At 45.8% G+C, this 26,593-nt stretch overlaps 2 protein-coding genes and 1 pseudogene across 11 annotated transcripts in view, besides 1 other annotated feature; 2 read left to right on the top strand and 1 right to left on the bottom strand.

Moving 5' to 3' along the window:
- The window catches only part of ZNF600 (zinc finger protein 600), a 69,482-nt gene that overhangs the window by 10,580 nt on the left and 32,309 nt on the right, over positions 1–26,593 (top strand). The window lies entirely within an intron of this gene.
- Positions 987–1,488: an enhancer, noted in NCBI's record as "H3K27ac hESC enhancer chr19:53324831-53325332 (GRCh37/hg19 assembly coordinates)". NCBI's record gives its function as "activates a minimal SCP1, AML or CMV promoter by ChIP-STARR-seq in naive H9 embryonic stem cells {active_cell/tissue: H9 hESC(naive)}" and the evidence as "EXISTENCE:reporter gene assay evidence [ECO:0000049][PMID:30033119]".
- On the top strand, positions 1,433–25,658 carry ZNF28 (zinc finger protein 28). Of its 10 annotated transcripts, NR_163139.1 has the most exons (6): positions 1,433–1,480; positions 5,035–5,122; positions 12,573–12,819; positions 14,933–15,059; positions 17,804–17,921; positions 21,364–25,658. NR_163139.1 is itself a non-coding variant. In NM_001369766.1 (5 exons), exons 2-5 carry the CDS (start codon positions 5,108–5,110, stop codon positions 21,491–21,493), a joined length of 348 nt encoding a protein of 115 aa, NP_001356695.1. In that variant the 5' UTR covers positions 1,433–1,480; positions 5,035–5,107; the 3' UTR covers positions 21,494–25,658. The 10 variants fall into 10 exon arrangements, 9 of the variants coding, with proteins under 9 accessions (NP_001356695.1, NP_001356690.1, NP_001356694.1 ...); NM_001369766.1 differs by lacking the exon at positions 12,573–12,819 and having other exon boundaries at positions 21,406–25,658; NM_001369761.1 differs by lacking the exon at positions 12,573–12,819.
- On the bottom strand, positions 9,040–12,923 carry PABPN1P2 (PABPN1 pseudogene 2; annotated as a pseudogene).

The raw sequence follows: 26,593 nt of genomic DNA, 5'->3' as shown, positions 1-26,593 counted from the left end.
CATAACCAATCAATTTGCTGCAGCCTATGCACTGGCCTTGAATGGAAAATGTGATTCTGGTAAAGCTTCTCTGTCTTTCCCTGTGTGTGAAACCTTAACGTCTCTACTTGGGAACACGGGCCCCCTTCATTTGGAGTTGACGTTTCCAGGTGGCTATCCTCAAGCTTTGTGTTCCAATAAACTCTATAGTTAATTATGTATTCTAAATTTTATTATTTACTGCTGACGTCAGTTTCTGTCGGACTGTAGCAGCCTCACTAGAGACGGCACCTGCCTCCATGTTGTAAAACTCACACTTGTCAAAAAGACGTGGGTTAAAGTAATTCCCCTCTCTCTGCATGAAGCTAACTAGCTGACACAGATAGTCACCTCCATTACCAAGTACAGCCAGGATGAACTATGTGCGACCAAGGCTGTTGTCAACTAATCTTCCCTGAGGACTGATTAGTGTTTATCTTGAAAACATGTACTTAACGGGTTGCATAGAACAATGAAGTTTCTTTCTCTCTTTTCAACCTCTTAGCTGTTTGCCTCTATTTCCCAACACATTCTGGTCTAAGGCTTATTCATTAATAGAATAGTTCTTATTTCTTCCTGTTTTGTCATGAAGATGATTTCTCATTTCGGGGAAGATTTTTTAGTTTTCAGTTGTATTTTCTCAACATTTAAAAAGCAAAGTAAAGAGTATTTCCTGGGCCAGGCACAGTGGCTCAGGCCTGTAATCCCAGCACTTGGGGAGGCCAAGGCAGTCGGATCACTTGAAGTCAGGAGTTCGAGACCAGCCTGTCCAACATGGCGAAATCCTGTCTCTACACAAAATACAAAAATTAACCGGGCATGGTGGGTGTGCCTGTAGTGCCAGCTACTCCGGAGGCTGAGGCAGAAGAATCGCTTCAACCCAGGAGGCAGAGGCTGCAGTGAGTCAAGATCTCGCCACTGCACTCCAGCCAGGGCGACAGAGAAATAGCCTCAAAAAAAAAAAAAAAAAAAAGGGAAAAAGAAAAGAAAAAAATGTAAATAAAAAGGAGAAAGTAATAGATCTCTTTTACAAATGTGCTGGGACAACTAACTGGATATCCACACGGAAAAGAGTAATGTTGTATCCCTGTCTCGCACAAGCAAATTTTTTTTTTATTATTTTTTTATTTTTTTATTTTTTTTTAGAGACGGAGTCTGGCTCTGTTGCCCAGGCTGGTGTGCAGTGGCTCGATCTCGGCCCAATGCAAGCTGTATCTCCCGGGTTCAAAAGCCTGAGAACATGGCCTGGGAGGAGGCTGAGACTCACAGGTCCCGCTCCGGCCCCGCCCTCTGCGGGTTCTAAAGGGCAAGGTCTCGCCGCTTCGCGCCCCGCCCACACCTCACCCGGGCCCCGCTCGCCTCCTCGTTGGCTCCACCCAGGCCTGGTTTCTGTCCTGCGCGCGCAGATTCGCGCAGACCAGGAAGCGGATCCCGTGGAATGACGGTGACGCCGCGGCGGGCGGTGAGTTTTGCTCTGTGTGGTGTTAAGTCTGAGCTTCCCAGGTCCCCGGCACTTCTGTACATGGGATGTGGGGTCCCCCTAGACCTGGAAGTTCTCCCCTTTCTTCGTTCACTCAGAGCAAATGGAGATGTTCTACTGGGAGTCCGGAAGCCCCTTCTTTTTAGGTTTAAAGTCGCCCTGAGGCTGGTCCCGTCCCGGGTCTTTCTGCTACAGGGCAATGTATACACTTCCTATCTCGTAGTTTTCCTGCTCAAAACCTTTTTTTGACTCCTTCCGCACGGCTCTTTTTAAAGTCCTCACCCTAGAGGTGTATTCCCACCCTGTGCGCCTCCCAGCCTCATCCTCCTGGGTTCCTGGAGCACAGCGCGGCGACCCCAGTCCCGGGAAGGCTGCGTTCTGTGGTCCTGGGATCCTGCGGATCCCACCCTTGTCCGAAGGCGTCGTCGCTCCCCACCTCCCTCCTCCTCTTGCTGGGCCCTGCTGCTCCCCAGATCTCCCCTCCGCAGTCACCGCTTCCCCTGAGCCCGCGTTGGAGAGGTGCCTGGGGCTTGTCCTGTGACGCGGGGTGTTCTTGCCCGCCCAGCTCCAGCTCTGGGAAAATGCGCTTCTCCGAGATGCAGGTGTCTTACTCCAAACCCTCGTGTGATCGTGTGGGCCAAAGGGATCAGGAGACAGAGAGAGGGACTAAGAGAGCAGTAGAAAACCTGAGACAGAGAAAAGAAGAATGAGAAAGACCCATAACAGATGGCAAAGTAGAGGATGGTGAGGGATTTGCCAAGAGACAGCAAAAGTGATAAAAGATAAGAAAGCAGGAGGAGAAAAGCAACTGGAGAAATGTAGAGAAAAGCTAGATGTACAGAGAGATGAAGGACAGACAGCAAGGTAGGGAGAGGGGCAGAAATGTGGAGGCTCATCAGAGTGAGGGAGAGGAGGAGGGATGTGGAGCCGGGTCAGACAGAGCAGAGTGGTGCTGGTGGCAAGGAGAACAGAGGGAGAAGCACAGCGGGGAGGACACCTGGGGATCTGGGGTGCCAGACTGGGTCCAGGGGGTTATAACAGAGAAGAGAGAATTTAACAGGGAGAGCAGAGAGGGGAGAAGAGGTGGAAATCTATGGAGATTGAGGACGATCTAAAGATTGGGGAGAAGGACCAACAAGAGGTTAAATAAGGGCCGGGCGCGGTGGCTCACGCCTGTAATCCCAGCACTTTGGGAGGCCGAGGCGGGTGGATCATGAGGTCAGGAGATCGAGACCATCCTGGCTAACAAGGTGAAACCCCGTCTCTACTAAAAATACAAAAAATTAGCCGGGCGCGGTGGCGGGCGCCTGTAGTCCCAGCTACTCGGGAGGCTGAGGCAGGAGAATGGCGTGAACCCGGGAAGCAGAGCTTGCAGTGAGCCGAGATTGCGCCACTGCAGTCCGCAGTCCGGCCTGGACGACAGAGCGAGACTCCGTCTCAAAAAAAAAAAAAAAAAAAAGAGGTTAAATAAGTTGCAAGGATGGAGCCCAGCTAATTTTTGTATTTCTAGTAGAGATAGGGTTTCACCATGTTGGCCAGGTTGGTCTCAAACTCCTGACCTCAGGTAATCCACCCACCTCCACCTCCCAAAGTGCTGGAATTACAGGTGTGAACCACCTCAGCTGTCCACCCATGTATTCTTGATTGAAATAATTTGCTTATGTCTTAGTTCTACAGTTGACCCTGTTTTCAAGGTCAAGAGCTGTGTGTTTACACTGCTGCATTTTATAAATGTTAGTGTGATTTTCTTGTAAGGAAGAATTCAATGTTGGGAGTCAATTTCATCAGAACCTTTCAAAAGAATTTTCTTTAACCCAGGCATGTGAAAGATGCTTCTCTAATTTTAAGGATGGGATGATAAGACCAGTCCATCCCATTAGCCCTTCCAGGCCCCCATGTAAGAATTCAGGCACACCTTCTCACTCATCTCAGACCTTCTCAGGGTAACTTCGTGAAAATGTTTCCAGCTCTGAGCCCCAGTGAGCCTCCCCTGCAACTTGGAGATGAGGGGCTAGACCAGAAAAGCTCAACCCGAGTGACCCTGGCCACTGAAATGATTGGCAAAATAGAGTGGGTGTCTGGGTGTGGCTTTTTTTCTGGTAGAGGGGAGTGCCCAGTTGTAATTAGAATTTTCAGTGGGATGCAGTACCCCAAAAATGAAAAAAAAAAGCAATAGAATGGAAGAAAGAGAGTGGTAGACTCAGAAAGAGAGACCATCTTCGGAGGACTTTGTCTGTATTAGAATATCACAGCTACATCTAAAGCAGGTCATGTCAGTGCCTGGCAGGGAACCCTCCACCTGCTTCCCGTGTTCCCCAGGACAAAAGCCCAACTCTTCACTTTGGCTCCACAGCCCTGTGTTCAGGGTCCCTGCCAGTGTCCAGCCTCCTCCTGGGAGCTTACCCTCATCTGACTCCCTCTGCCCCAGTCACATTTGCTTTTCTCTTTTTTCAAACATCAAAATCCTTCCTGTCTCAGGTTGTTGTCCCTGTTCTTATTCAATGTTTCTAAATGAAGATGGCACTGTCCCTTTCTCCTTCAGATCTAGGCTCAGAGCTGTCTCCCATGCCCTCCCACCCCCATCTGAAGTTCCCTCTGCCCATCAGTGTCTATCACATTACTCAAGTCTTCTTATCTCTGTGTCAGTCCCATCAGAAATGCACTTTTTTTTTTTTTTTTTTTCCCAAACAGACTCTCATTCTGTCCTCCAGGCTATGAGTGCAGTCTTGTGATCTTGGCTCACTGCAACCTGTATCTCCTGGGTTCAAGTGATTCTTGTGCCTCAGCCTCCCAAGTAGCTAAGATTACAGGTGTGTGCCACCACACCCTGCTAATTTTTGTATTTGTATTTGTATTTTTTTATTTTTGAGTCTTACTCTGTCACCCAGGCAGGAGTGGAGTGGCGCGATCTTGGGTCACTGCAACCTCCACCTTCCAGGTTCAAGCAATTCTACCTCAGCCTCCTGAGTAGCTGGGATTACAGATGCGCATCAAGCCCGGCTACTTTTTGTATTTTTAGTAGAGACAGGGTTTCACCATGTTGGCCAGGCTGCTCTTGAACTCCTGACCTCAAGTAATCCACCCACCTCGGCCTTTCAGAGTGTTGGTATTACAGGCATGAGCCACTGAGCCCAGCCCAATTTTTATATTTTTAGTAGAGAGAGGGTTTCTCCATGTTGGCCAGGCTGGTCTCGAACTTCTGAGCTCAAGTGATCCTTCCACCTCAGCTTCCTAAGTAGCTGGGACCACAGACACACAGATGCGCACCACCATATCTGGCTAAGTTTTTGTATTTATGGTAGAGATTTCCTGAAGGGGAGCTCATCCCAGCCCAGCTCCCCACTGCTGCAGCGTGTGTGTGGGCTTCTCCAGGAGTAGAGTGGGAGTTTTCCTGTAGGAATTTTTTGTTCGTGGTGCGGTAGGCAGCATAGGGGACCATATTTCCTCAAGGTGAAGTCTCCTTTGTATGTGTTGTTGTGTTACAGGGAGGGGATGTGTTGATTCTGAGCAATAAACAACATATTTTTAACATTCAGGATTGACTTCTAAAGAATCTTGGTACGTGAGGAAGAAACCCAGAAGAGGAAGAGGAAAGCAAAGGAGTCAGGGATGGCTCTTCCTCAGGTGAGATGGTATTCTCGGTGGATTGCTCTGTCTCCTTCCTTTCAGAAACGCTGGGCCTTGGAGTTGGGAGTCTTCTCTGAGTCTGAAGTGTCCTGCCTGATATGTTTGCTCACCCTCACCCATGCCTTCCTTCAGTTCATCTCATCTCGCTTAGATTCCATCTCTGGTGACCCAGTGACATGAACATGGGAGAGGCTGCACTGGGCATGGTCCTGGGAAGGTCTCACACCCAGACATGGATGGAGACGGGGTGAGGGTCCCGTGGTGTCAGTGCTGTTGGGCAGCAGGGTTTGTTCAGGGGCCACATCTGGATGCACTGTCAGCTCTCTGTGGACCAGGATTAGAGCAGCTGCCAATGGGAGTCAAGTATTAATGTGCACAAAGTACGTGGTCAATTCTAGAAAAGGAGACCAATAAGGGAAAATCTTTTCTCCCTGATTTTATACCACATTTTTAGGTAATTGAGTGAGTTCCTGTGTTTCTGACTCCAAAAATCTTACTAATTAGAATGGAATGTTCATACATAGATGAATAATACATTAATGATTCCTTCATTATTATTATTTTTTTTGAAGCGGAGTTTCACTCTTGTTATCCAGGCTGGAGTGCAATGGCGTGATCTCAGCTCACCGCAACCTCCGCCTCCTGGGTTCAAGAGATTCTCCTGCCTCAGCCTCCCGAGTAGCTGGCATTACAAGCATGCGCCACCATGCTCAGCTAATTTTGTATTTTTAGTAGAGACGAGGTTTCTCCATGTTGATCAGGCTGGTCTCAAACTCCCGACCTCAGGCGATCCGCCTACTTTGGCTTCCTAAAGTGCTGGGATTACAAGCGTGAGCCACCGTTCCTGGCCTATTCCTTCATTATTTTAAGAACATGAAATCAATGTAAATAATAGCAGGAGAGTCATTCAACCATTCTTAACACATCGAGCTCACGGAGACTATGGTGTTACTGTGGAGAGGCTTGTGAAACAGGTGTTTTTGGTAAAAGTGGTTGCAATTTTTCTCTAATATTGGAGAGTACTGCTTTTTTATCTAAGAGGATAAAGCTGTATTCTCATTCCACGTTTTATTATTATTATTATTATTATTATTATTATTATTATTTTCTGAAACGGAGTCTTGCTTTGTTGCCCAGGCTGCAGTGCAGTGGCATGATCTCAGCTTACTACAACCTCTGTCTCCCAGGTTGAAGCGATTCTCTGTCTCAACCCACCTAGTAGCTGGGATTATAGGTGCGCGCCACCATCCCCAACTAATTTTTTTTTTCTTTTTTTGAGATGATGTTTTCACTCTGTCACCCAGGGTGGAGTGCTTTGGTATGATCTTGGCTCACTGCAAGCTCTGCCTCCTGGGTTCATGCCATTCTCCTGCCTCAGCCTCCCAAGTAGCTGGGACTACAGGCACCCGCCACCATGCCTAGCTAATTTTTTGTGTTTTTAGTAGAGACGGGGTTTCACCGTGTTAGCCAGGATGGTCTCAATCTCCTGACCTCGTTATCCTCCCACCTCAGCCTCCCAAAGTGCTGGGATTACAGGCTTGAGCCACCGCGCCCGGCTTGCCTGGCTAATTTTTTTGTATTTTTAGTAGAAACAGGGTTTCACCATGTTGGCCAGGCTGGCCTCGAACTCCTAACCTCAGGTGGTCTGCCTGCCTCAGCCCCCAAGAGTGTTGGGATTACAGGTGCAAGCCACCATGCCCAGCCCCAACAATTATTATTGAATATAAATGGTTATATGTAAACATCACATGATGTATATATTTTGTGGTAAAACTCCAAGCAAAGCTGCAGCTTAGACCCTTTGCCATAAGGCATCTCCTTTCCCTGTCACATCCTCCACCCTCCTTCCAGCCTCACTGGCGAGCCACTATTGTCAGTTCTGTGTTAGCTGTCAGAGCGAGTCTCGTACACGTGTATTTCTGCATCATTATGAGACTTTAAAAAAAATTCTGTTGTAAATTAAAGAAAAATTTTTATGTATTTTTTTTTACTTTACGTTTGGGGCTACATGTGAAGGTTTGTTACAGAGGCAAACTCACGTCATTGGAGTTTGTTGTACCAATTATTTCATCACACCGTTGTCAAGGCCAGTACACGATAGTTATTTATTTTTTTTGAGATGGAGCCTCGCTCTGTCGCCCAGGCTGGAGTGCAGTGGTGCAATCTCGGCTCACTGCAAGCTCCGCCTCCTGGGTTCACACCATTCTCCTGCCTCAGCCTCCCGAGTAGCTGGGACCACAGGCACCTGCCACCACACCCAGCTAATTTTTTTGTATTTTTAGTAGAGATGGGGTTTCATTGTGGTAGCCAGGATGGTCTCGATCTCCTGACCTCATGATTCGCCCGCCTCGGCCTCCCAAAGTGCTGGGATTACAGGCGTGAGCCACCACGCCCAGACAGTTATTTTTTTTATTTATTTTTTTGAGACTGAGTTATGATCTTGTTGCCCAGACTGGAGTATTATGGCATGATCTCGGCTCACTGCAACCTCTACCTCCCGGGTTCAAGTGTGTCTCCTGCTTCAGACTCTCGAGTAGCTGGGACTACAGGTGCTTGCCACTATACCTGGCTAATTTTTGTATTTTTAATAGAGACAAGAGTTTCACCATGTTGGCCAGGCTGATGTTGAACTCCTGTCTTCAGGTGATCCAGCAGCCTCAGCCTCCCAAAGTGCTGAGATTACAGGTGTGAGCCACTGTGCCCGGGCCCAATAGTTATTTTTTCTGCTCCTCTCCTTCCTCCCACTGCCAAAGTATCCTTTCCACCAAGGCAAGATTCCTCTTCGGTTAAACAAATCTTGCTACTTTTTATATTTTAAAAACCTTTATATATATATATAAATATATATATACACACACATACACACATATCTATACATATACATACATATATACACACATGTATACTTTGAAAGTCTGGGGAAAATGACCACTTTGTTATTAACATCTAATTTCTTGTGAGTCTTTGAAGGTTTTATTATTTTTGGGGCATATATATGCAAAAAAAGATTTTCGTACTTTGAGTAATTCTGTTTTCATATATTTATTTTATTTTGAGACAAGGTCTGGCTCTGTTGCCCAGGCTGGAGCGCAGTGGTGTGATCTTGGCTCACTGTAGCCTCTGCCTTCCTGGTTCAAGCGAGTCTCCTGCCTCAGGCTCCTGAGTAACTGGGAATACAAGCGAGTGCCACCATGTCCAGATAATTTTTTGGTATTTTCAGTAGTGATGGGGTTTCACCTTTTTAGCCAGGATGGTTTTCATTTCCTAACCTCGTGATCTGCCCACCTCAGCCTCCCAAAGTTTTGAAATCACAGGCGTGAGCCACCTCGCCCAGCTTTTTTTTTTCTTTTTGAGACAAAGTCTCGGTTGTCCAGGCTGGAATGCAGTGGTGTGATGTCGGATCACTGCAGCCTCTGCCTCCCAGGTTCAAGTGATTCTCCTGTTTTAGCCTCCTAAGTAGCTGGGATTATAGTCACGTGCCATCACCCGTGGCTAATTTTTTTTGTATTTTTAGGAGAGACGGTGTTTCACCATTTTGGCCATGCTGGTCTTGAACTCCTGACCTCAGGTGATCCGCCTGCTTCAGCCTCACAGAATGCTGGGATTACAGACACGAGCCATCATGCCCAGCCCCACCAATTGTTATTAAATATATATGGTTATATTTAAACATCACACGATGTGTATATTTGTTTGGTGGTAACGCTCCAAGAAAGCTGCAGCTTAGACCCTTGGCCATAAAGCATCTCCTTTCCCTGTCACGTCCTCCATCCTCCTTCCAGCCTCCCTGGGGAGCCGTTACTGTCAGTTCTGTGCCAGGTGTCAGAGCAAGTCTTGTACACGTGTATTTCTGCAGCATTATGAGGCTTTAGAAGAAATTCTGTAGTAACTTAAAAAAGTTTTTTCTTTTTTGTAAAAGTCCAAACAATTTTTATTTTCAAAAACAACTTTATTCATGACACATATTAAAAAAAATTCCCACCCCTGGAAATGAGCTTAAAAAAATAAACAGAGTCCATCTCCCACCTCCCTGTTCCCACTTCCTCCTATTCCCTCCAAATAAAAGGGAAAAAAGGCAAAGGAAGACAAAACAAAACAAAAAACTGAAAAACAGAAACACCTCTAAACCCCCCAAAACAAGGTAGTGCATTTCCCCATGGGGAAGGGGAATTTACAGTGGAGCTGCTGGGAGCGGAACGGAGATCTTCTGGCTGCAGAAACCTGTAAACAAAGACACTCAACACAGAAAAAGAAACACAAAAGGAAACAAAATAGATCACCAGGCAATCTGGAGGGGCAGGGGGCCAGAGAAGAGGGGTGGGGTGGGTGGTAGACCTGGAGGGACAGGAGCAGGCAGGAGGGGACTGTGAAAGGTGAGGAGAAGACGGAGGGAAGGTGACAAGCCGAACAGTCTGGTGTCCTTCCAGAGCCCTGGGTAAAAAAAAAAACCTCCTACCACCCCCGCCCGCCTACCCTGGAGCAGCCCCTACGGGGGCGAAGTGGGGCAGGGAAACACGGGGAGCAGCTTGCACTGTTGAGACGTGTCCATGGCGAATCCCCAGAGTGAATAAGCCGCCCCCTGCCCCACTCCCTGGGCCTTCCCCTGCTCCCCAAAACAGGTCCCTCCTCAGCAGTTTGTTAGGGATTCTCTGTCCTTCCACAGTATGTCTTTTTTTTTTTTTTTTTTTTTTCACCATTCAAGTTTTTAATCTTCATAAATGCCAAGGTTTTAAAAGACTGCTGGGTAGTCCTAAATTGCTCCACTGAGCAGATAAGCAATTACTATGAGTAGCGTCATTTTAAATACATGCAAAAGTATTGGTATAGTGACAATAAAGCATTAACCAAGATTACCACAACTGGAGATTTAGGAAAATTTCATCTGAGTTGCATTGTTCTCTTTTCACAATGTATAAATTGCTTAAATTGGGTGATAGTTTAGTTTAACTTTATTACTAAGCATTAACCTCAAGGATTGAAGCTCAGATTGTGGAATTTCACCTGCTATCCAGTGAGCAGAGAGGGTATTCTTTGGACATAGGGACCTTTTAAGTAGCCTTAAAACTATAGTAATCAGGGTGATGCATTTCCTCAAAGGCTTGCCCAGTTTATGTCATCCAAGCATGCCACTCTCTACACAGCACACTTAAAACTTTTTTTTTTTTTTTTTTTTTTTTTATTGATCATTCTTGGGTGTTTCTCGCAGAGGGGGATTTGGCAGGGTCATAGGACAATAGTGGAGGGAAGGTCAGCAGATAAACAAGTGAACAAAGGTCTCTGGTTTTCCTAGGCAGAGGTCCCTGCGGCCTTCCGCAGTGTTTGTGTCCCTGGGTACTTGAGATTAGGGAGTGGTGATGACTCTTAAGGAGCATGCTGCCTTCAAGCATCTGTTTAACAAAGCACATCTTGCACCGCCCTTAATCCATTTAACCCTGAGTGGACACAGCACATGTTTCAGAGAGCACAGGGTTGGGGATAAGGTCACAGATCAACAGGATCCCAAGGCAGAAGTATTTTTCTTAGTACAGAACAAAATGAAAAGTCTCCCATGTCTACTTCTATCCACACAGACCCGGCAATCATCCGATTTCTCAATTTCTTCCCCACCCTTCCCGCCTTTCTATTCCACAAAACCGCCATTGTCATCATGGCCCGTTCTCAATGAGCCGCTGGGCACACCTCCCAGACGGGGTCGTGGCCGGGCAGAGGGGCTCCTCACTTCCCAGTAGGGGCGGCCGGGCAGAAGCGCCCCTCACCTCCCAGATGGGGCGGCTGGCCGGGCGGGGGGCTGACCCCCCCACCACCCTCCCGGACGGGGCGGCTGGCCAGGCAGAGGGGCTCCTCACTTCCCAGTAGGGGCGGCCGGGCAGAGGCGCCCCTCACCTCCTGGATAGGGCGGCTGGCCGGGCGGGGGGCTGTCCCCCCCACCTCCCTCCCGGACGGGGCGGCTGGCCAGGCAGAGGGGCTCCTCACTTCCCAGTAGGGGCGGCCGGGCAGAGGCGCCCCTCACCTCCTGGATAGGGCGGCTGGCCGGGCGGGGGGCTGTCCCCCCCACCTCCCTCCCGGACGGGGCGGCTGGCCGGGCAGAGGGGTCCTCACTTCCCAGTAGGGGCGGCCGGGCAGAGGAGCCCCTCACCTCCCGGACGGGGCGGCTGGCCGGGCGGGGGGCTGACCCCCCCGACCTCCCTCCCGGACGGGGCGGCTGCCGGGCGGAGACGCTCCTCACTTCCCAGACGGGGTGGTTGCCGGACGGAGGGGCTCCTCACTTCTCAGACGGGGCGGTTGCCAGGCAGAGGGTTTCCTCACTTCTCAGACGGGGCGGCCGGGCAGAGACGCTCCTCACCTCCCAGACAGGGTTGCGGCCCAGCAGAGGCGCTCCTCACATCCCAGACAGGGCGGTGGGGCAGAGGTGCTCCCCACATCTCAGACGATGGGCGGCCGGGCAGAGACGCTCCTCACTTCCTAGATGGGATGGCGGCGGGGAAGAGGCGCTCCTCGCTTCCTAGATGGGATGGCGGCCGGGCAGAGACGCTCCTCACTTTCCAGACTGGGCAGCCAGGCAGAGGGGCTCCTCACATCCCAGACAATGGGCGGCCAGGCAGAGTCGCTCCTCACTTCCCAGACGGGGTGGCGGCCGGGCAGAGGCTGCAATCTCGGCTCTTTGGGAGGCCAAGGCAGGCGGCTGGGAGGTGGAGGTTGTAGTGAGCCGAGATCACGCCGCTGCACTCCAGCCTGGGCACCATTGAGCACTGAGTGAACGAGACTCCATCTGCAATCCCGGCACCTCGGGAGGCCGAGGCTGGCGGATCACTCGTGGTTAGGAGCTGGAGACCAGCCCAGCCAACACAGCGAAACCCCGTCTCCACCAAAAAAAAAAACGAAAACCAGTCAGGCGTGGCGGCGCGTGCCTGCAATCGCAGGCACTCGGCAGGCTGAGGCAGGAGAATCAGGCAGGGAGGTTGCAGTGAGCCGAGATGGCAGCAGTACCGTCCAGCTTTGGCTCGGCATCAGAGGGAGACTGTGGAGGGAGAGGGAGAGGGAGGGGGAGGGGGAGGGGGAGGGGGAGGGGGAGGGGGAGGGGGAGAGGGAGAGGGAGAGGGACTCTTTTTTTAAAAATATATATATATTTTTTTCCATCAAGGTCATCTTCTGTTTTTTTTGGGTTTTTTTTTATTCTTTTTTTTTCCCCTTCTTTCCTCTTTTTTTCCTCTCTCTCCTAATACACATTTTTTTTAGTAAGGGGAATACCGTGATGTCGCTCTAGCCCGGCCCCTGTAGACGCGACCCCAGAGCCTGCTGTTAAAACCACTGTAGAATGGAGAGCAGGAACTGCTGTAGTTGGTGGTCGGGCGCGGTAGCGGGCTCGTGGAAGACCCCGGTCTGTTGTGCTGATGCCTGGTCTGTTGGTTCGCTTTGGGATCACCTTGATTTGCCTTCCTCTAAATAGGGACTCATCCAAGGCCAAGGAAGTCCTCACTGACTCTTTGAGAACTCTATATATGCAAACCCTTTGGGATGGCCACTAAATTTGTCACAGAGTATGGTAACGTGGTTGACTGAACCACAGCCATGAAAGTGAGCTTCCAGCTCTTCTGCTGTTGCACCGCAGTCCACATTGCCAGCATTGATGGAACGGGCATCAGCCTCCATCTTCTCCTCAATGGACGTGATCACTGGGCCAGCATTGCCTGGAGGTAGACTCATATTCCTCTGCTTCTCTACGTCGTTCTGTAGCTCCTTTAGCTTCTCAGCTTCTTCCTCCACCTCCCTGACTCCAGCTTCGATAGCTTCCAGCCCCGGGTCACCCTCGACCAGTCCCGGCTCCTCCCCCTCCTCTTGGCTGCCGGTGGCTCCTGAACGAGGCCCAGGTCCTGGAGCTCCCAGGCATGGGGCGCGGGGCTGGAGCGGCTCCTCTTCGGGCTCCGGCTCCAACAGCAGCTCCTCAGGCTCCAGTTCCTCAGACTCCAGGCCGTTCCCATCGTCCCCTGCGCCCCCCGGGGCAACCTCCCCGGCCTCCCCACCGGCCCCGGGCACAAGATGGCGCCGCCCCGGCCTGGATCCCGGACCGCCCGCAGGCCCAGTGCTACTGCCACCACCGCCACCGCCGCCGCCGCCGCCTTCGCCGCTCAGACTGGGCTCCTTTTTTTTCGCTCTGTCACCCAGGCTGCAGTGAAGTGGCATGATCTCAGCTCACTGCAACCCCCTCCTCCTGGGTTAAAGCGTTTTGCTGCCTCAGCCTCTCGAGTAGCTGAGATTACAGGCAGCCAACACCACGTCTGGCTATTTTTTGTATTTTTAGTAGAGAAGGGCTTTCATTATCTTGGCCATGCTGGTCTTGAACTCTTGACCTGGTTATTCACCCGCCTTGACCTCTTAAAGTGCTGGGATTACAGGCGTGAGCCACCGCGCCAGGCCCATAATAGTTATGTTTTCTGTTTCTCTCCTTCCTCCCACCCTCCACCCTCAAGTAGACGCCAGTGTCTATTTTCTTCTTTGTGTTCCAGTAAATATTTTAGTTCGATATTTCATCCTGCTAGTTGTGAATTTACATGTTGTCATGTTAGTAAACATGGCTAGCTTGCTCTTTGACATCTGCATTGGAAATTGGCTGAATGACAACACATGTGTCCTTTGCAACTTTTCCCTGTATAAAGAGTGCCATAGTGGCTGCCTCTGTGCACGTCCGCATTACTACAGATATCTGAACATTCCTCCAGGTCAGGCAGTTGAAAGGGTGATTGCTTCTTCTAGGATGGGGCATTTCCATTTTCTTAGATCTGACAAGATTCCCCCTGCCCGCAACTGCCCAAGTGTCCTTTTCCAGCAAGATGAGATTCCTCTTCAGTTAAACAAAACTTGCTACTTTTTATATTTTTTAAAACTTCATATATGTACATATATATCCCCACACACATGCACACACATATACATACAAATACATATATACACACATCTGTATATATTTTGAAAATCTTTTATATTTTGAAAATCTGGGACAAATGACAACCCTTTGTATTCACATCTAGTGTTTTGTGAGTCTCTAGGTTTTATTATTTTGTGAAAATTTAGAAACACAATTGATTTTTGTACTTTGAGTAATTTTGTTTTCACGTATTTTATTTTATTTTGAGATGGGGTCTCGGTTTGTTGCCCAGGCTTGAGTGCCCTGGTGGGATCACAGCTCACTGCAACCTCCACCCTCAGGGTCAAGCCATCCTCCCTCCTTAGCCTTCCAAGTAGCTGGGACCGCAGGTGCCTGCCACCAGGTCCAGCTAATGTTTTTTGTTTTTTTTTTTAATTTTTTTTTTTTTGAGATGGAGTTTCTGTTGCCCAGGCTGGAGTGCAGTGACACTGTCTGGGATCTCTGCAACCTCTGCCTCCCAGGATCAGGCAATTCTGCCTCAGCCTCCTGCGTAGCTGGGATTACAGACATGTGTCACTGTGCCCAGCCTGTCTCTTACTGTGGACATTGTCATCTTTTAAGACATCAGTCATGCTCTCTCTCATCTAGATAATGAATGTCACTTGGTGTGTCTATAAAAGTTTCAAACATTTTTATAACAGGAATCCAACACTGATTTTTTATTTATTTCTTGAATTTTTCACAAACTTAGGAATTTCATACTGAAAGTGTGTCTTGATCACTTCAAAAAGTATAATAAAAACATCATGTGGTGAAAAATCCGTCACTCGGATTTGTGAGAACATTCACTACAACTAAATCCATGCTTTCCCCCTCTCTTGTCATTTTCTGTAAAGATAAGAACTCCACCATAACCATTTGGTTAAAATGTGTTTCCATTTCAGGGTCTATTGACATTCAGGGACGTGGCCATAGAATTCTCTCAGGAGGAGTGGAAATGCCTGGACCCTGCTCAGAGGACTCTTTACAGGGATGTGATGCTGGAGAATTATAGGAACCTGGTCTCCCTGGGTGAGGATAACCTCCTGGGGATGTGCCCTTGTGTATCTTTGTATTTTCTCTTGTTGCCTCTTGGGAGCCACATCCTTACTTGACTAAAATGGAAGCCGTATTGATTTTGAAATGAAAAGCTTCATGATGTAGCATCTGGACTTTCACTGTCCCCTTTGTTTAGAGGTTCTGCATTCTTCATGATAGCTCAGTGGAGCTTCCAGAAGTAAAGTAGGCATAAAACTTTATGGCAGCCTGGTCGTGGTGGCTCACGCCTGTTATCCCAGCACCTTGGGAGGCCAAGGCGTGTGGATCGCTATGGGTGAGGAGTTCAAAACCAGCATGGCCAACATGCAGAAACCCTGTCTGTACTAAAAATACAAAAGTTAGCCGGGCATGGTGATGCATATGTGTAATCCCAGCTCCTAGAGAGGCTGAGGAAAGAGAATTACTTGAACCCAGGAGGCCAAGTTTTGCATTGAGCTGAGAACACACCACTGCACTCCAGCCCGGACGACAGAGCAAGACTCTGTCTCAAAAAACAAAGACAAAAACAAACCTTATGGCAGACTTTAAAGATATCCAGTTCCCTGTTTGCTTCTCCTGTGCTTTCGATTCTGTAGTTCTTGGAAGAGAGCTCGATGTCCACATACTACATATTACAGTGCTCCCCAAGCATTCAGAATGAGGCAGTCAGTGGAGGAATTTGTGAAATATTTTCCTAGATTCATCTGTAATGTCTTCTTTCCTACAGAAACATAGGGCTGGGACTCTAGAAAAGCTCCAGCATGTTATGGTCCTTTCTTTTTATAAGCAGGAGTCTCTTTCTGACCTGCTGTCTCCATGTTGGAGCAAGGGAAAGAGCCCTGGACTGTGGAGAGTTAAGTGAAAATAACAAAAAAATCCAGATGGGTGGGAATGTATTACAGGTGCAAACGCAGGTAAGAGCTCAGATGGGCAGAGTGGAAGCTCCACCTTCAAATAGTGTGTGGGGAAACTCTCTGCAAGTGGGAGAATTCTGTGGCAAAAGAAAAGTTTAAATCCTCACATCTCTGAAAAGATATCTTTCTTTGCCCCCGCTTATCTCTCTGCTCTTTCTTTCTATTCTTTCTTTCTCTCTTTTTTTATGACAGAGTCTCACTCTGTTGCCCAGGCTACAGTGCACTGGTACGATCTTGGCTAACTGCAGCCTCTGCCTCCTGGGCTCAAAGGATGCTTATGCCCCAGATTCCTGAGTAGCTGGAACTGCAGGCGCTCACCACCATGCCCAGCTAATTTTTGTGTTTTTAGTAGAGACAGTGTTTCACCATGTTGGCCAGGCTGGTTTCAAACTTCTGATCTCAAGTGACCCACTTGCCTCAGATTCCCAAAACACTGGGACCGTAGGCATGAGCTGCCATGCCTAACCATTGTTATTATTTTAAATAGTTTTGTCTTGTAGTTCTTTAGATATTTGGGCAGAGGTTATTGTTGCAGGTATGTTAAACATATTAAAGTTATAGCATAATAAAGAAACTTAAAATTACCATAACCTGGACGTGTGCAGTGGCTGACACCTGTAATCCCAGCACTTTGAGAGGCTGAGATGGGCATATCACCTGAAGTCAGGAGTTCAAAACTAGCCTGGTTAACATGTTGAAACTTCGTCTCTACTAAAGTTACAAAAATTAGCCAGGCGCCGTGGTGGGTGGCTGTAATCCAAGCTACTCAGGAGGCTGAGGCAGGAGAGCCACTTGAATCTGGAAGGCAGAGGTTGCAGTGAGCCGAGATCGCACCGTTGCACTCCAGCATGGGAGACAGAGTGAAACTCTGTTTCAAAAGAAGAAAAAAAAAATTCTGTAACCTGCAAAAATGACTTCTTCTTCTCCACTAGAACATTTTTTTATTTGTCAGAATTATTTCTGTGTATGTTGCATTTTTGTTAACATATATGTACAGTGTTTTTCATGCCTTTTATTTTAAATATGAAAAAAGTTTAGTTATGAAGGTATACATATGCCAGTTTCTGTATCTGTCCTTTTATTAATTAATTACTTTATGTATTTATGAGACTGAGTTTTGCTGTTGTCACCCAGGCTGAAGTACGATGCTGCGATCTCAGCTCACTGCAACCTCTGCCTCTCGGGTACAACCGATTCTCCTGCCTCAGGCCCCTGAGAAGCTGGGATTACAGATATGCACCACCACACCCATCTAATTTTGTATTTTTAGTAGAGACTGTTTCTTTTTGTTGGCCAGGCTGGACTCGAACTCCTGACCTCAGGTGATCTGCCCAGCTCATCCTCCCAAAGTGTTGGGATTACAGGCATGAACCACGATGCTTGGCCTATCTGTTTTTACTACCTTTACTGGAGAACTTTATTTATTTATTTATTTATTTATTTTTATTATTATTATTTTTGAGATGGAGTCTCACTCTGTCGCCCAGGCCGGAGTGCAGTGGTGTGATCTCTGCTCACTGCAACCTCCACCTTCTGGGTTCAAGCAATTCTCCTTCCTCAGCCTCCCGAGTAGCTGCAACTACAAGTGTGCACCACTACACCCAGCTAAGTTTTGTATTTTTAGTAGAGATGGGGTTCCACCATGTTGGTTGGCCAGGATAGTCTCAATCTCCTGACCTGGTGATCTGCCAGCCTCAGCCTCCCAAAGTGCTGGGATTATTGGCGTGAACCACCACACCAGGCCTGGAGAACTTTATATATGCTTGTGGGTTGGAGTTACTCTTTAGCCTTCTTTCATTTCTTTTTTTTTTTTCTTTGAGACAGATTTTCGGTCTGTCACCCAGGCTAAAGTGCAGTGGTGTCACCTCGGCTCACTGCAACCTCCACTTCCCAGGTTCAAGCAATTCTCCTGCCTCAGCCTTCCAAGTAGCTGGGACTACAGGTGAGTGCCAACACCGCGGGCTAATTTTTTGTATTTTTTTAGTAGAGACAGAATTTCAGCTTGTTAGGCAGGATGGTCTCAATCTCCTGACCTTGTGATCCTCCCACCTCAGCCTCCCAAAATGCTGGGATTACTGGCATGAGCCACCGCACCTGGCCTGTCTCAAGTTTTTTAAAACATGTTAGTGCTATTAGATGGCTTCAAGTATTGCAAGTTTTACAGTACAGACTCTTAACTTCCTTTGTTTAATAAGATTTGTCAGCCTTTGGTGATGTTGATGATGAGATGCTCTTTCTCCTGTCTCTGTCATTTCACTGTCCTGTTAGAAATAGCTTAGACTGGCCAGCTGTGATGTCTCACTTTTCTAATCCCAGCACTTTCAGAGACCAAGGTGGGTAGATCGCTTGAGGTCAGGAGTTTGAGACCAGTCTGGCCAACATGGTGAAACCTCGAATTTACTAAATGCCAAAAATGGGCTAGGTGCAGTGGCTCACACCTGTAATCCTGGCACTTTGGGAGACTGCGATCGGTTGATCACTTGAGGTCACGAGTTTGAGACAAGCCTGGCCAATATGGTGAAACCCTGTCTCTACTAAAAATGCAAAAATTAGCTGTGTATGGTGGCGTGCGCCTGTAATCCCAGCTACTTGGGAGGTTGAGGCAGGAGAATCACTGGAACCCAGGAGGTGGAGGTTGCAGTGCGCCAAGATCACGCTACTCTACTCCAGACCGGGAGACAGAGTAAGACTGGGCTGAGGAGGGAGAATCACTTGAGGTAGGAGAATCATGCCACTACACTCCAGCCTGGGTGATAGAGCATGACTCCATCTCAAAAACAAACAAAAAAGGAAATTGCTTAAACTGGGAGGCTTAAGACAAAGACATTGATTTCTCATGAATTTGGAAAGTGGGAAATCCAAGAGCAAGGTGCCAGCCAAATTGGTTCCTGGTGACAGCCTTCTTCATGCTTTAGACCAGCCATATTCCTGCTGTGTCCTAATACAGTGAAAAGAGGAACAGGCAACACGCTCTTTAATGTCTCTATAAATGCACTAGTCCTATTCATGAGTAGTCGACACCCATGCTAAATTCTCTCAAGGTCTGCATCTGCAGGAACATCCTATTAGAGAATACCACATCTACCAAAGCTTATTTGAGAAGTAGTTATTTATCTTATTTTATTTTTTTGAGATGGAGTCTCATCCTGTTGCCCAGGCTGGAATGCAGTGGCATGATCTCAGCTCACTGCAACCTTCACCTTCTGGGTACAAATGTTTTCTGCCTCAGACTACCAAGTACCTGGGATTACAGGCACCCTCCACCACACCCAGCTAATTTTTTTGTATTTTTAGTAGAGATGGGGTTTCACCATGTTGCCCAGGCTGGTCTCGAACTCCTGATTTACCTGCCTCAGCCTACCAAAGTGCTGGGATTACAGGCATGCGCCACCGTGCCTGGCTGTTAGTCAATTCTCATTCTTTATAATGCTGTATACTTTCTTGACCTCATATATCAGAAAGTAGTGATCTTAACATCTATTTCAGTTCTTATGTTGTGTGCTGGTGGTAAGTACAAGTTTTGGCTTTTTTCTTAAGAGGGAATTGTTTAGAATTCTTCAGTCTGTATAAATCTACTTGTTATTTTCTTGCTTGTTTTATCATGGGTTGCAATATTTGATTAATTGATTTTTATGACTTTATATGTGAGTTTTCGGTATGTGGTATGCAATATAACTGACACTCCCCTAGATAATGTCACAAAGTGCCACAGGGTGCAGTGGCTCATGCCTGTAATCCCAGGTCTTGGGAGGCTGAGATGTGTGGATCATCTGAGGTCAGGAGTTCGAGACCAGCCTGGCCAACAGGTTTCACCAAACCCCATCTCTACTAAAAATACAAAAATTAGCCGGGCACAGTGGCATGTGCCTGCATTCCCAGGTGCTCAGAACCTAAGGAAGAGACTCACATGAACCCCAAGGCAGAGGTTGCATTGAGCCAAGATCATACCATTGCACTCCAGCCTGGGTGACAGAGTGACACTGTATCTCAAAAAAATAAAAATACATAAAATTTTTTTTAAAAGTCGGCCGTGTGCGGTGGCTCATGCCTATAATCCCAGCACTTTGGGAGGCTGAGGCAAGGGGATCACAAGGTCAGGAGATCGAGACCATCCTGGCTAACACAGTGAAACCCTGTCTCTACTAAAAATACAAAAAAGTTAGCTGGACATGGCGGTGTGTGCCTGTAGTCCAAGCTGCTGGGGAGGCTGAGGCAGGAGAATGGCGTGAACCCGGGAGGTGGAGCTTGCAGTGAGCCGAGATCATGCCACTGCACTCCAGCCTGGGCGACAGAGCAAGATTTCGTCGCAAAAAAAAAAAAAAAAAGTCACAACGTGCCTGTTCCACATGGATATAGGTAATTTTGTAACAGTTATTTGGAAAAATATGGTATTAACATTTTCCTTTTTTTGAGATGGAGTCTCACTCTGTCATCCAGGGTGGAGTGCAGTGGTGCGATCTCAACTCACCACAATCTTTGCCTCCCAAGTTCAAGCGATTATCCTGACTCAGCCTCCCAAGTAGCTGGGATTACAGGCACCTGTGACCATGCCAGCTACTTTTTGTATTTTCAGTACAGATGGGGTTTTGCCACATTGGCCAGGCTGGTCAAACTCCTGACGTGAGGTGATCTGCCTGCCTTGCCCTCTAGAAGTACTGGGATTACAGGCATGAGCCACCATGCCCTGCCTTTTTTTGTTGTTTGTTTTTTTGTTTTTTTGAGATGGAGGCTCATTTTGTCACCTGGGCTGGAGTGCAGTGGTGTAATATTGGCTTACAGCAACCTTTGCCTTTGGCTTAACGCAATTCTTGTGACACAGCCTTCAGAGTAGCTGTGAGTACAGGCACGGGCCACCATACCTGGCTAATTTTTATAATCTTTTGTTATCTTGTCAGTGCTATGATTGTTTGACAATACAGAATTTCCATTGATTTTGGTTATCCTTACAACAGCTTGTTTTGGATTATTTACCAATATAGTATATTGTGTGGTTCTTTAGCATTTATTTGTATACACTAAATACGCTGTAAATATGAAGAATATATATTTTTCTTTTTTTGATGTGATAGTGATGTGTTTTTTGCAAAGTGTGATACACTTTAGGGTCACAGTGGAAAAACACTCCTTACTTTAGGCTCACACATGTTTGTGCCCTGTCAGTGTTTTGTCATGATATAGGAAATAGACTTTCATGGAATTGATTTGAAAGACATATAATCGCCCTTTATTTATTAAAGAATCTTACTCCTTTTGTGTTCTTAAACTTTGAAGATCATGTTTGGGAAGTTTAAAATAAGTATTGTTTTTTGTGTCATATTTACACATTTCAGTATTATACACCATCTGTACTTCATTGGAAACCTATTGGTGTTTATATTTTGTAGATATCTCTTCCAAATGCATGATGAAGACATTCTTCTCAACAGGGCAAGGCAATACAGAAGCGTTCCACACAGGGACATTGCAAAGACAAGCAAGTCATCACATTGGAGATTTTTGCTTCCAGAAAATTGAGAAAGACATTCATGGCTTCCAGTTTCAGTGGAAAGAAGATGAAACAAATGACCATGCAGCACCCATGACAGAAATCAAAGAGTTGACTGGTAGTACAGGCCAACATGATCAAAGGCATGCTGGAAACAAGCATATTAAAGATCAGCTTGGATTAAGCTTTCATTCGCATCTGCCTGAACTGCACATATTTCAGCCTGAAGGGAAAATTGGTAATCAAGTTGAGAAGTCTATCAACAATGCTTCCTCAGTTTCAACATCCCAAAGAATTTGTTGTAGGCCCAAAACCCATATTTCTAATAAGTATGGAAATAATTCCCTCCATTCTTCATTACTCACACAAAAACGGAATGTACACATGAGAGAAAAATCTTTCCAATGTATTGAGAGTGGCAAATCCTTTAATTGTAGCTCACTTTTAAAAAAACATCAGATAACCCACTTAGAAGAGAAACAATGTAAATGTGATGTATATGGCAAGGTATTTAATCAGAAGCGATACCTTGCATGCCATCGTAGATCTCACATTGATGAGAAACCTTACAAGTGTAATGAGTGTGGCAAGATCTTTGGTCACAATACATCCCTCTTCCTTCACAAGGCGCTTCATACTGCAGACAAACCTTATGAATGTGAAGAATGTGACAAAGTTTTCAGTCGCAAATCACACCTTGAAACACATAAGATAATTTATACTGGAGGGAAACCATACAAATGTAAGGTTTGTGACAAAGCTTTCACATGTAATTCATACCTAGCAAAACATACTATAATTCACACTGGAGAGAAACCTTACAAGTGTAATGAATGTGGCAAGGTTTTTAATCGACTGTCAACCCTTGCACGCCATCGTAGGCTTCATACTGGAGAGAAACCTTATGAATGTGAAGAATGTGAAAAAGTTTTCAGTCGCAAATCACATCTTGAAAGACATAAGAGGATTCATACTGGAGAGAAACCATACAAATGTAAGGTTTGTGACAAGGCTTTTGCATATAATTCATACCTGGCAAAACATAGTATAATTCACACTGGAGAGAAGCCTTACAAGTGTAATGAATGTGGCAAGGTTTTTAATCAACAATCAACTCTTGCACGCCATCATAGACTTCATACTGCAGAGAAACCATACAAATGTGAAGAATGTGACAAAGTTTTCAGGTGCAAATCACACCTTGAAAGACATAGGAGGATTCATACTGGAGAGAAACCATACAAATGTAAGGTTTGTGACAAGGCTTTCCGGAGTGATTCATGCCTTACAGAACATCAGAGAGTTCATACTGGAGAGAAACCATACATGTGTAATGAATGTGGCAAGGTTTTTAGTACAAAAGCAAACCTTGCATGTCATCATAAACTTCATACTGCAGAGAAACCGTACAAATGTGAAGAATGTGAGAAAGTTTTCAGTCGCAAATCACACATGGAAAGACATAGGAGGATTCATACTGGAGAGAAACCGTACAAATGTAAGGTTTGTGACAAGGCTTTCCGGAGGGATTCACACCTGGCACAACATCAGAGAGTTCATACTGGAGAGAAACCTTACAAGTGTAATGAGTGTGGCAAGACCTTCCGTCAGACATCATCGCTTATAATCCATCGTAGGCTTCATACTGGAGAGAAACCTTACAAGTGTAATGAGTGTGGCAAGACCTTCAGTCAGATGTCATCCCTCGTATACCATCATAGGCTTCATAGTGGAGAGAAACCTTACAAGTGTAATGAATGTGGCAAGGTTTTTAATCAACAAGCACACCTTGCACAGCATCAGAGAGTTCATACTGGAGAGAAACCTTACAAGTGTAATGAGTGTGGCAAGACCTTCAGTCAGATGTCAAACCTTGTATACCATCATAGACTTCATAGTGGAGAGAAACCTTGAAAGTGTAATGAGTGTGGCAAGACCTTCAGTCAGATGTCAAACCTTGTATACCATCATAGACTTCATAGTGGAGAGAAACCTTAAAAGTGTAATGAGTGTGGCAACACCTTCCATCACAATTCAACCCTTGTAAGTCACAAAGCCATTCATACTGGAGAGAAACTTTACAAGTGTAATGAATGTGGCAAGGTTTTTAATCAAAAAACAACCCTTGCACGTCATCATAGAATTCATACTGCAGAGAAACTTTACAAATAGGAAGAATGTGACAAAGTTTTCGGTTGCAAATCAAACCTTGAAACACATAAGAAAATGCATGCTGAAGAGAAACCACACAGATGTAAGGTTTATGACAAGATTTTTGAATATAATTCATACCTGGCAAAACATATTAGAATTCAAACTGGAGAGAAACCTTACAAATGTGATGAGTGTGGCAACACCTTTGGTCAAAATTCATACCTTGTAATTCAAAAGGCAATTCGTATTGGAGAGAAACCCTACAAGTGTAATGAATGTGGCATAGTTTTTAATCAACAGTCACACCTTGCAAGTCATCATAGTCTTCATACTGCAGAGAAATCTTACAAATGTGAAGACTGTGACAAAGTTGTCAGTCACAAATCACAGCTTGAAAGACAGGAGAATTCATACTGGAGAAAAAACATACAAATGTAAGGTTTGTAACAAGGCTTTTGGGAGTGATTCACACCTGGCACACCATACTAGAATTCACACTGGAGAGAAACCTTACAAGTGCAATGAGTGTGGCAAAGCCTTTAGTGGGCAGTCACCACTTATTCACCATCAAGCAATCCATAGTATAGGGAAACTTGACTAATATAATGATTGTCACAAAGTTTTCAGTAATGCTACAACCATTGCAAATCATTGGAGAATCCATAATGAGAGATCTTACAAGTGTAATAAATGTGACAGATTTTTCAGATATCGTTCATATATTGCTATTCATCATCGAACTCATGCTGGAGAGAAACCTTATAAATGTCATGATTGTGGCAAGGTCTTCAGTCAAGTTTCATCCTATGCAAAACATAGGAGGATTCATACAGGAGAGAAACTCACAAGTGTGATGATTGTGGCAAAGCGTTTACTTCACATTCACACCTCAATAGACATCAGAGAATCCATGCTGGACAGAAATCTTACAAATGTCATCAGTGTGGTAAGGTCTTCAGTCCGAGATCACTCCTTGCAGACCATCAGACAATTCCTTTTGGAGACAGTTGTTTCAAATGCCATTAGTATAGCAAGCCATCAAGCATTAATTGACATTACAGTTAAATGAGCACTGACCTGAGTTTGAGTTGACTTAACATTGAGTTTAAGCATTAATTGACATTAAACTGTTTATGTTAAGAGGACTGGGCTGGGCACTGTGGCTCACGCCTGCAATGCCAGCACTTTGAGAGGCCAAGACTGGTAGGTCACTGGAGGTTAAGAGTTTGAGAACAGCCTGGCCAACAGACGGGAGCCACTTTTCCCAGCCTGTGTTTTCATTTCTATTCTTTCTTTCTTTTTTCTTTTTTTTGTTTTTGTTTTTGAGATGGAGTCTCTTGCTCTGTCATCCAGGTTGGAGTGCAGTGGCATGATCTTGACTCACTACAACCTCCGCCTCCCAGGTTCAAGCGATCCTCCTGCCTCAGTCTCCTGACTAGCTGGGACTACAGGTGCATGCCACCACACCTGGATAATTTTTTGTATTTTTAGTAGAGACTGGGTTTCGCTGTGTTAGCCTGGATGGTCTCGATTTTCTGATCTTATGATTCACCCACCTCTACCTCCCGAAGTGCTGAGATTATGGGCGTGAGCCACCGTGACTGGCCTGTTTTTTGTTTCTTTAACAAAAAGTTATGGGGATTTCTATGAGTATTGTGTTGAATCTAAATCACATTCGGTTATATAATCATTGAGCAATACTAATTTTTCCAATCAGTATGGATTGTATGTGTATTTATATGTTTTTAATCATTTTGATCAATGTTTGTAGATTTCAAGGTACAAACTTCTCACCTTTATATGTTTATTCCTAAATATTTCTTACTTTAAGCTCTTTAGCAAATGGAAGTGGTTTTTAATTTTATTTTAAAATTATTTAATGTTAATGTATGGAAATTCAACTAATTTTTGGTGCTATTATTCTATTCTGCAAATACACTGAATATGTTTATTAGTTCCAGTTGTATTTTGGTTGACTGTGATTTTCTTCACAGATCATGTCATCTACAAACAAATAAAATTTGACTTCTTTCTTTCTGATTTGGATGAGTTCGATTTCTATTGCTATTTCATTGTTCTGGCTGGGACAGCCAGCATTGATTGAATAGAAAGGGTGAGAGCATTCTTGCATCATGTGAGATCCTACAGGAAAAGCATTCCATTTTCCCTGATTGTTTATTTCCACTGTGGTCGTTTCATGGATTGTCTTTGTACTGTTGAGGTAAATTTCCTTCTCTAACTATTTTTGGTAGGATTTCCATGATGATGTTGAATTTTGTGAAATGCTTTTTCTACATGTATTGAGATGATGTGGTTTTCATCTTTCATTATGTTCAAGTGGTATATCACATTGATTTGCTTGAATATGTTGAACCATCCTTGTATCTCAGAAATAAGTGGCACTTGCATATCTACAATCCTTTTTATATCCTCTTGAATACAGTTTGCTAGTACAAGGGGTCTTCACGAAGTTCATGAAAAAATACATGTTATGAGAAAATTGTGCATGATGTCACATTTTTTGCACCAAAATAAAATGGTACAAATCTGTTATAACATGTCTGAACAGGGTCTAGTTTGAGGCACTCAGAAGGGTAAAATCAGTTTGAAAAGAGACTCAATCAAAGCAATGTAAATTCTGCTAAAATTGAAACAAGAAGAAATATCAAATTTGCGATGAGACCAGATGCAGTGGCTCAGGCCTGTAATACCAGCACTTTCAGAGGTTGAGACAGCTGGGTCATGTGAGCCCCGGTATTCAAGACCAGCCTGGACAGAATGGTGAAACCCCTGTCTCCACAAAAAATACAAAAATTAGCTGGGCATGGTGGCACATGTCTGCTGGTTCAGCTTCTGTGGAGACTGCATTGGGAGGATGGCTTGAGCCTGGGAGGTAGAGGCTGCAGGGAGCCGTGATCATGCCACTGTACTCCAGTCTAAGACGTAAGTGACTATTCCTCCTCCCGCTCTCACAT

Source organism: Homo sapiens, chromosome 19 (assembly GCF_000001405.40).
Source record: "Homo sapiens chromosome 19, GRCh38.p14 Primary Assembly".
NCBI classification, from domain to species: domain Eukaryota; kingdom Metazoa; phylum Chordata; class Mammalia; order Primates; family Hominidae; genus Homo; species Homo sapiens.
This window is presented reverse-complemented; position numbering and strand designations above follow the sequence as displayed.

What these genes read in the sequence shown, in the direction of transcription:
- ZNF28 (NM_006969.5), top strand. An exon ending in TAGGAACCTGGTCTCCCTGG is followed by an intron (nt 15,060 to 21,363) that starts GTGAGGATAACC and finishes TATATTTTGTAG; the next exon opens with ATATCTCTTCCAAATGCATG.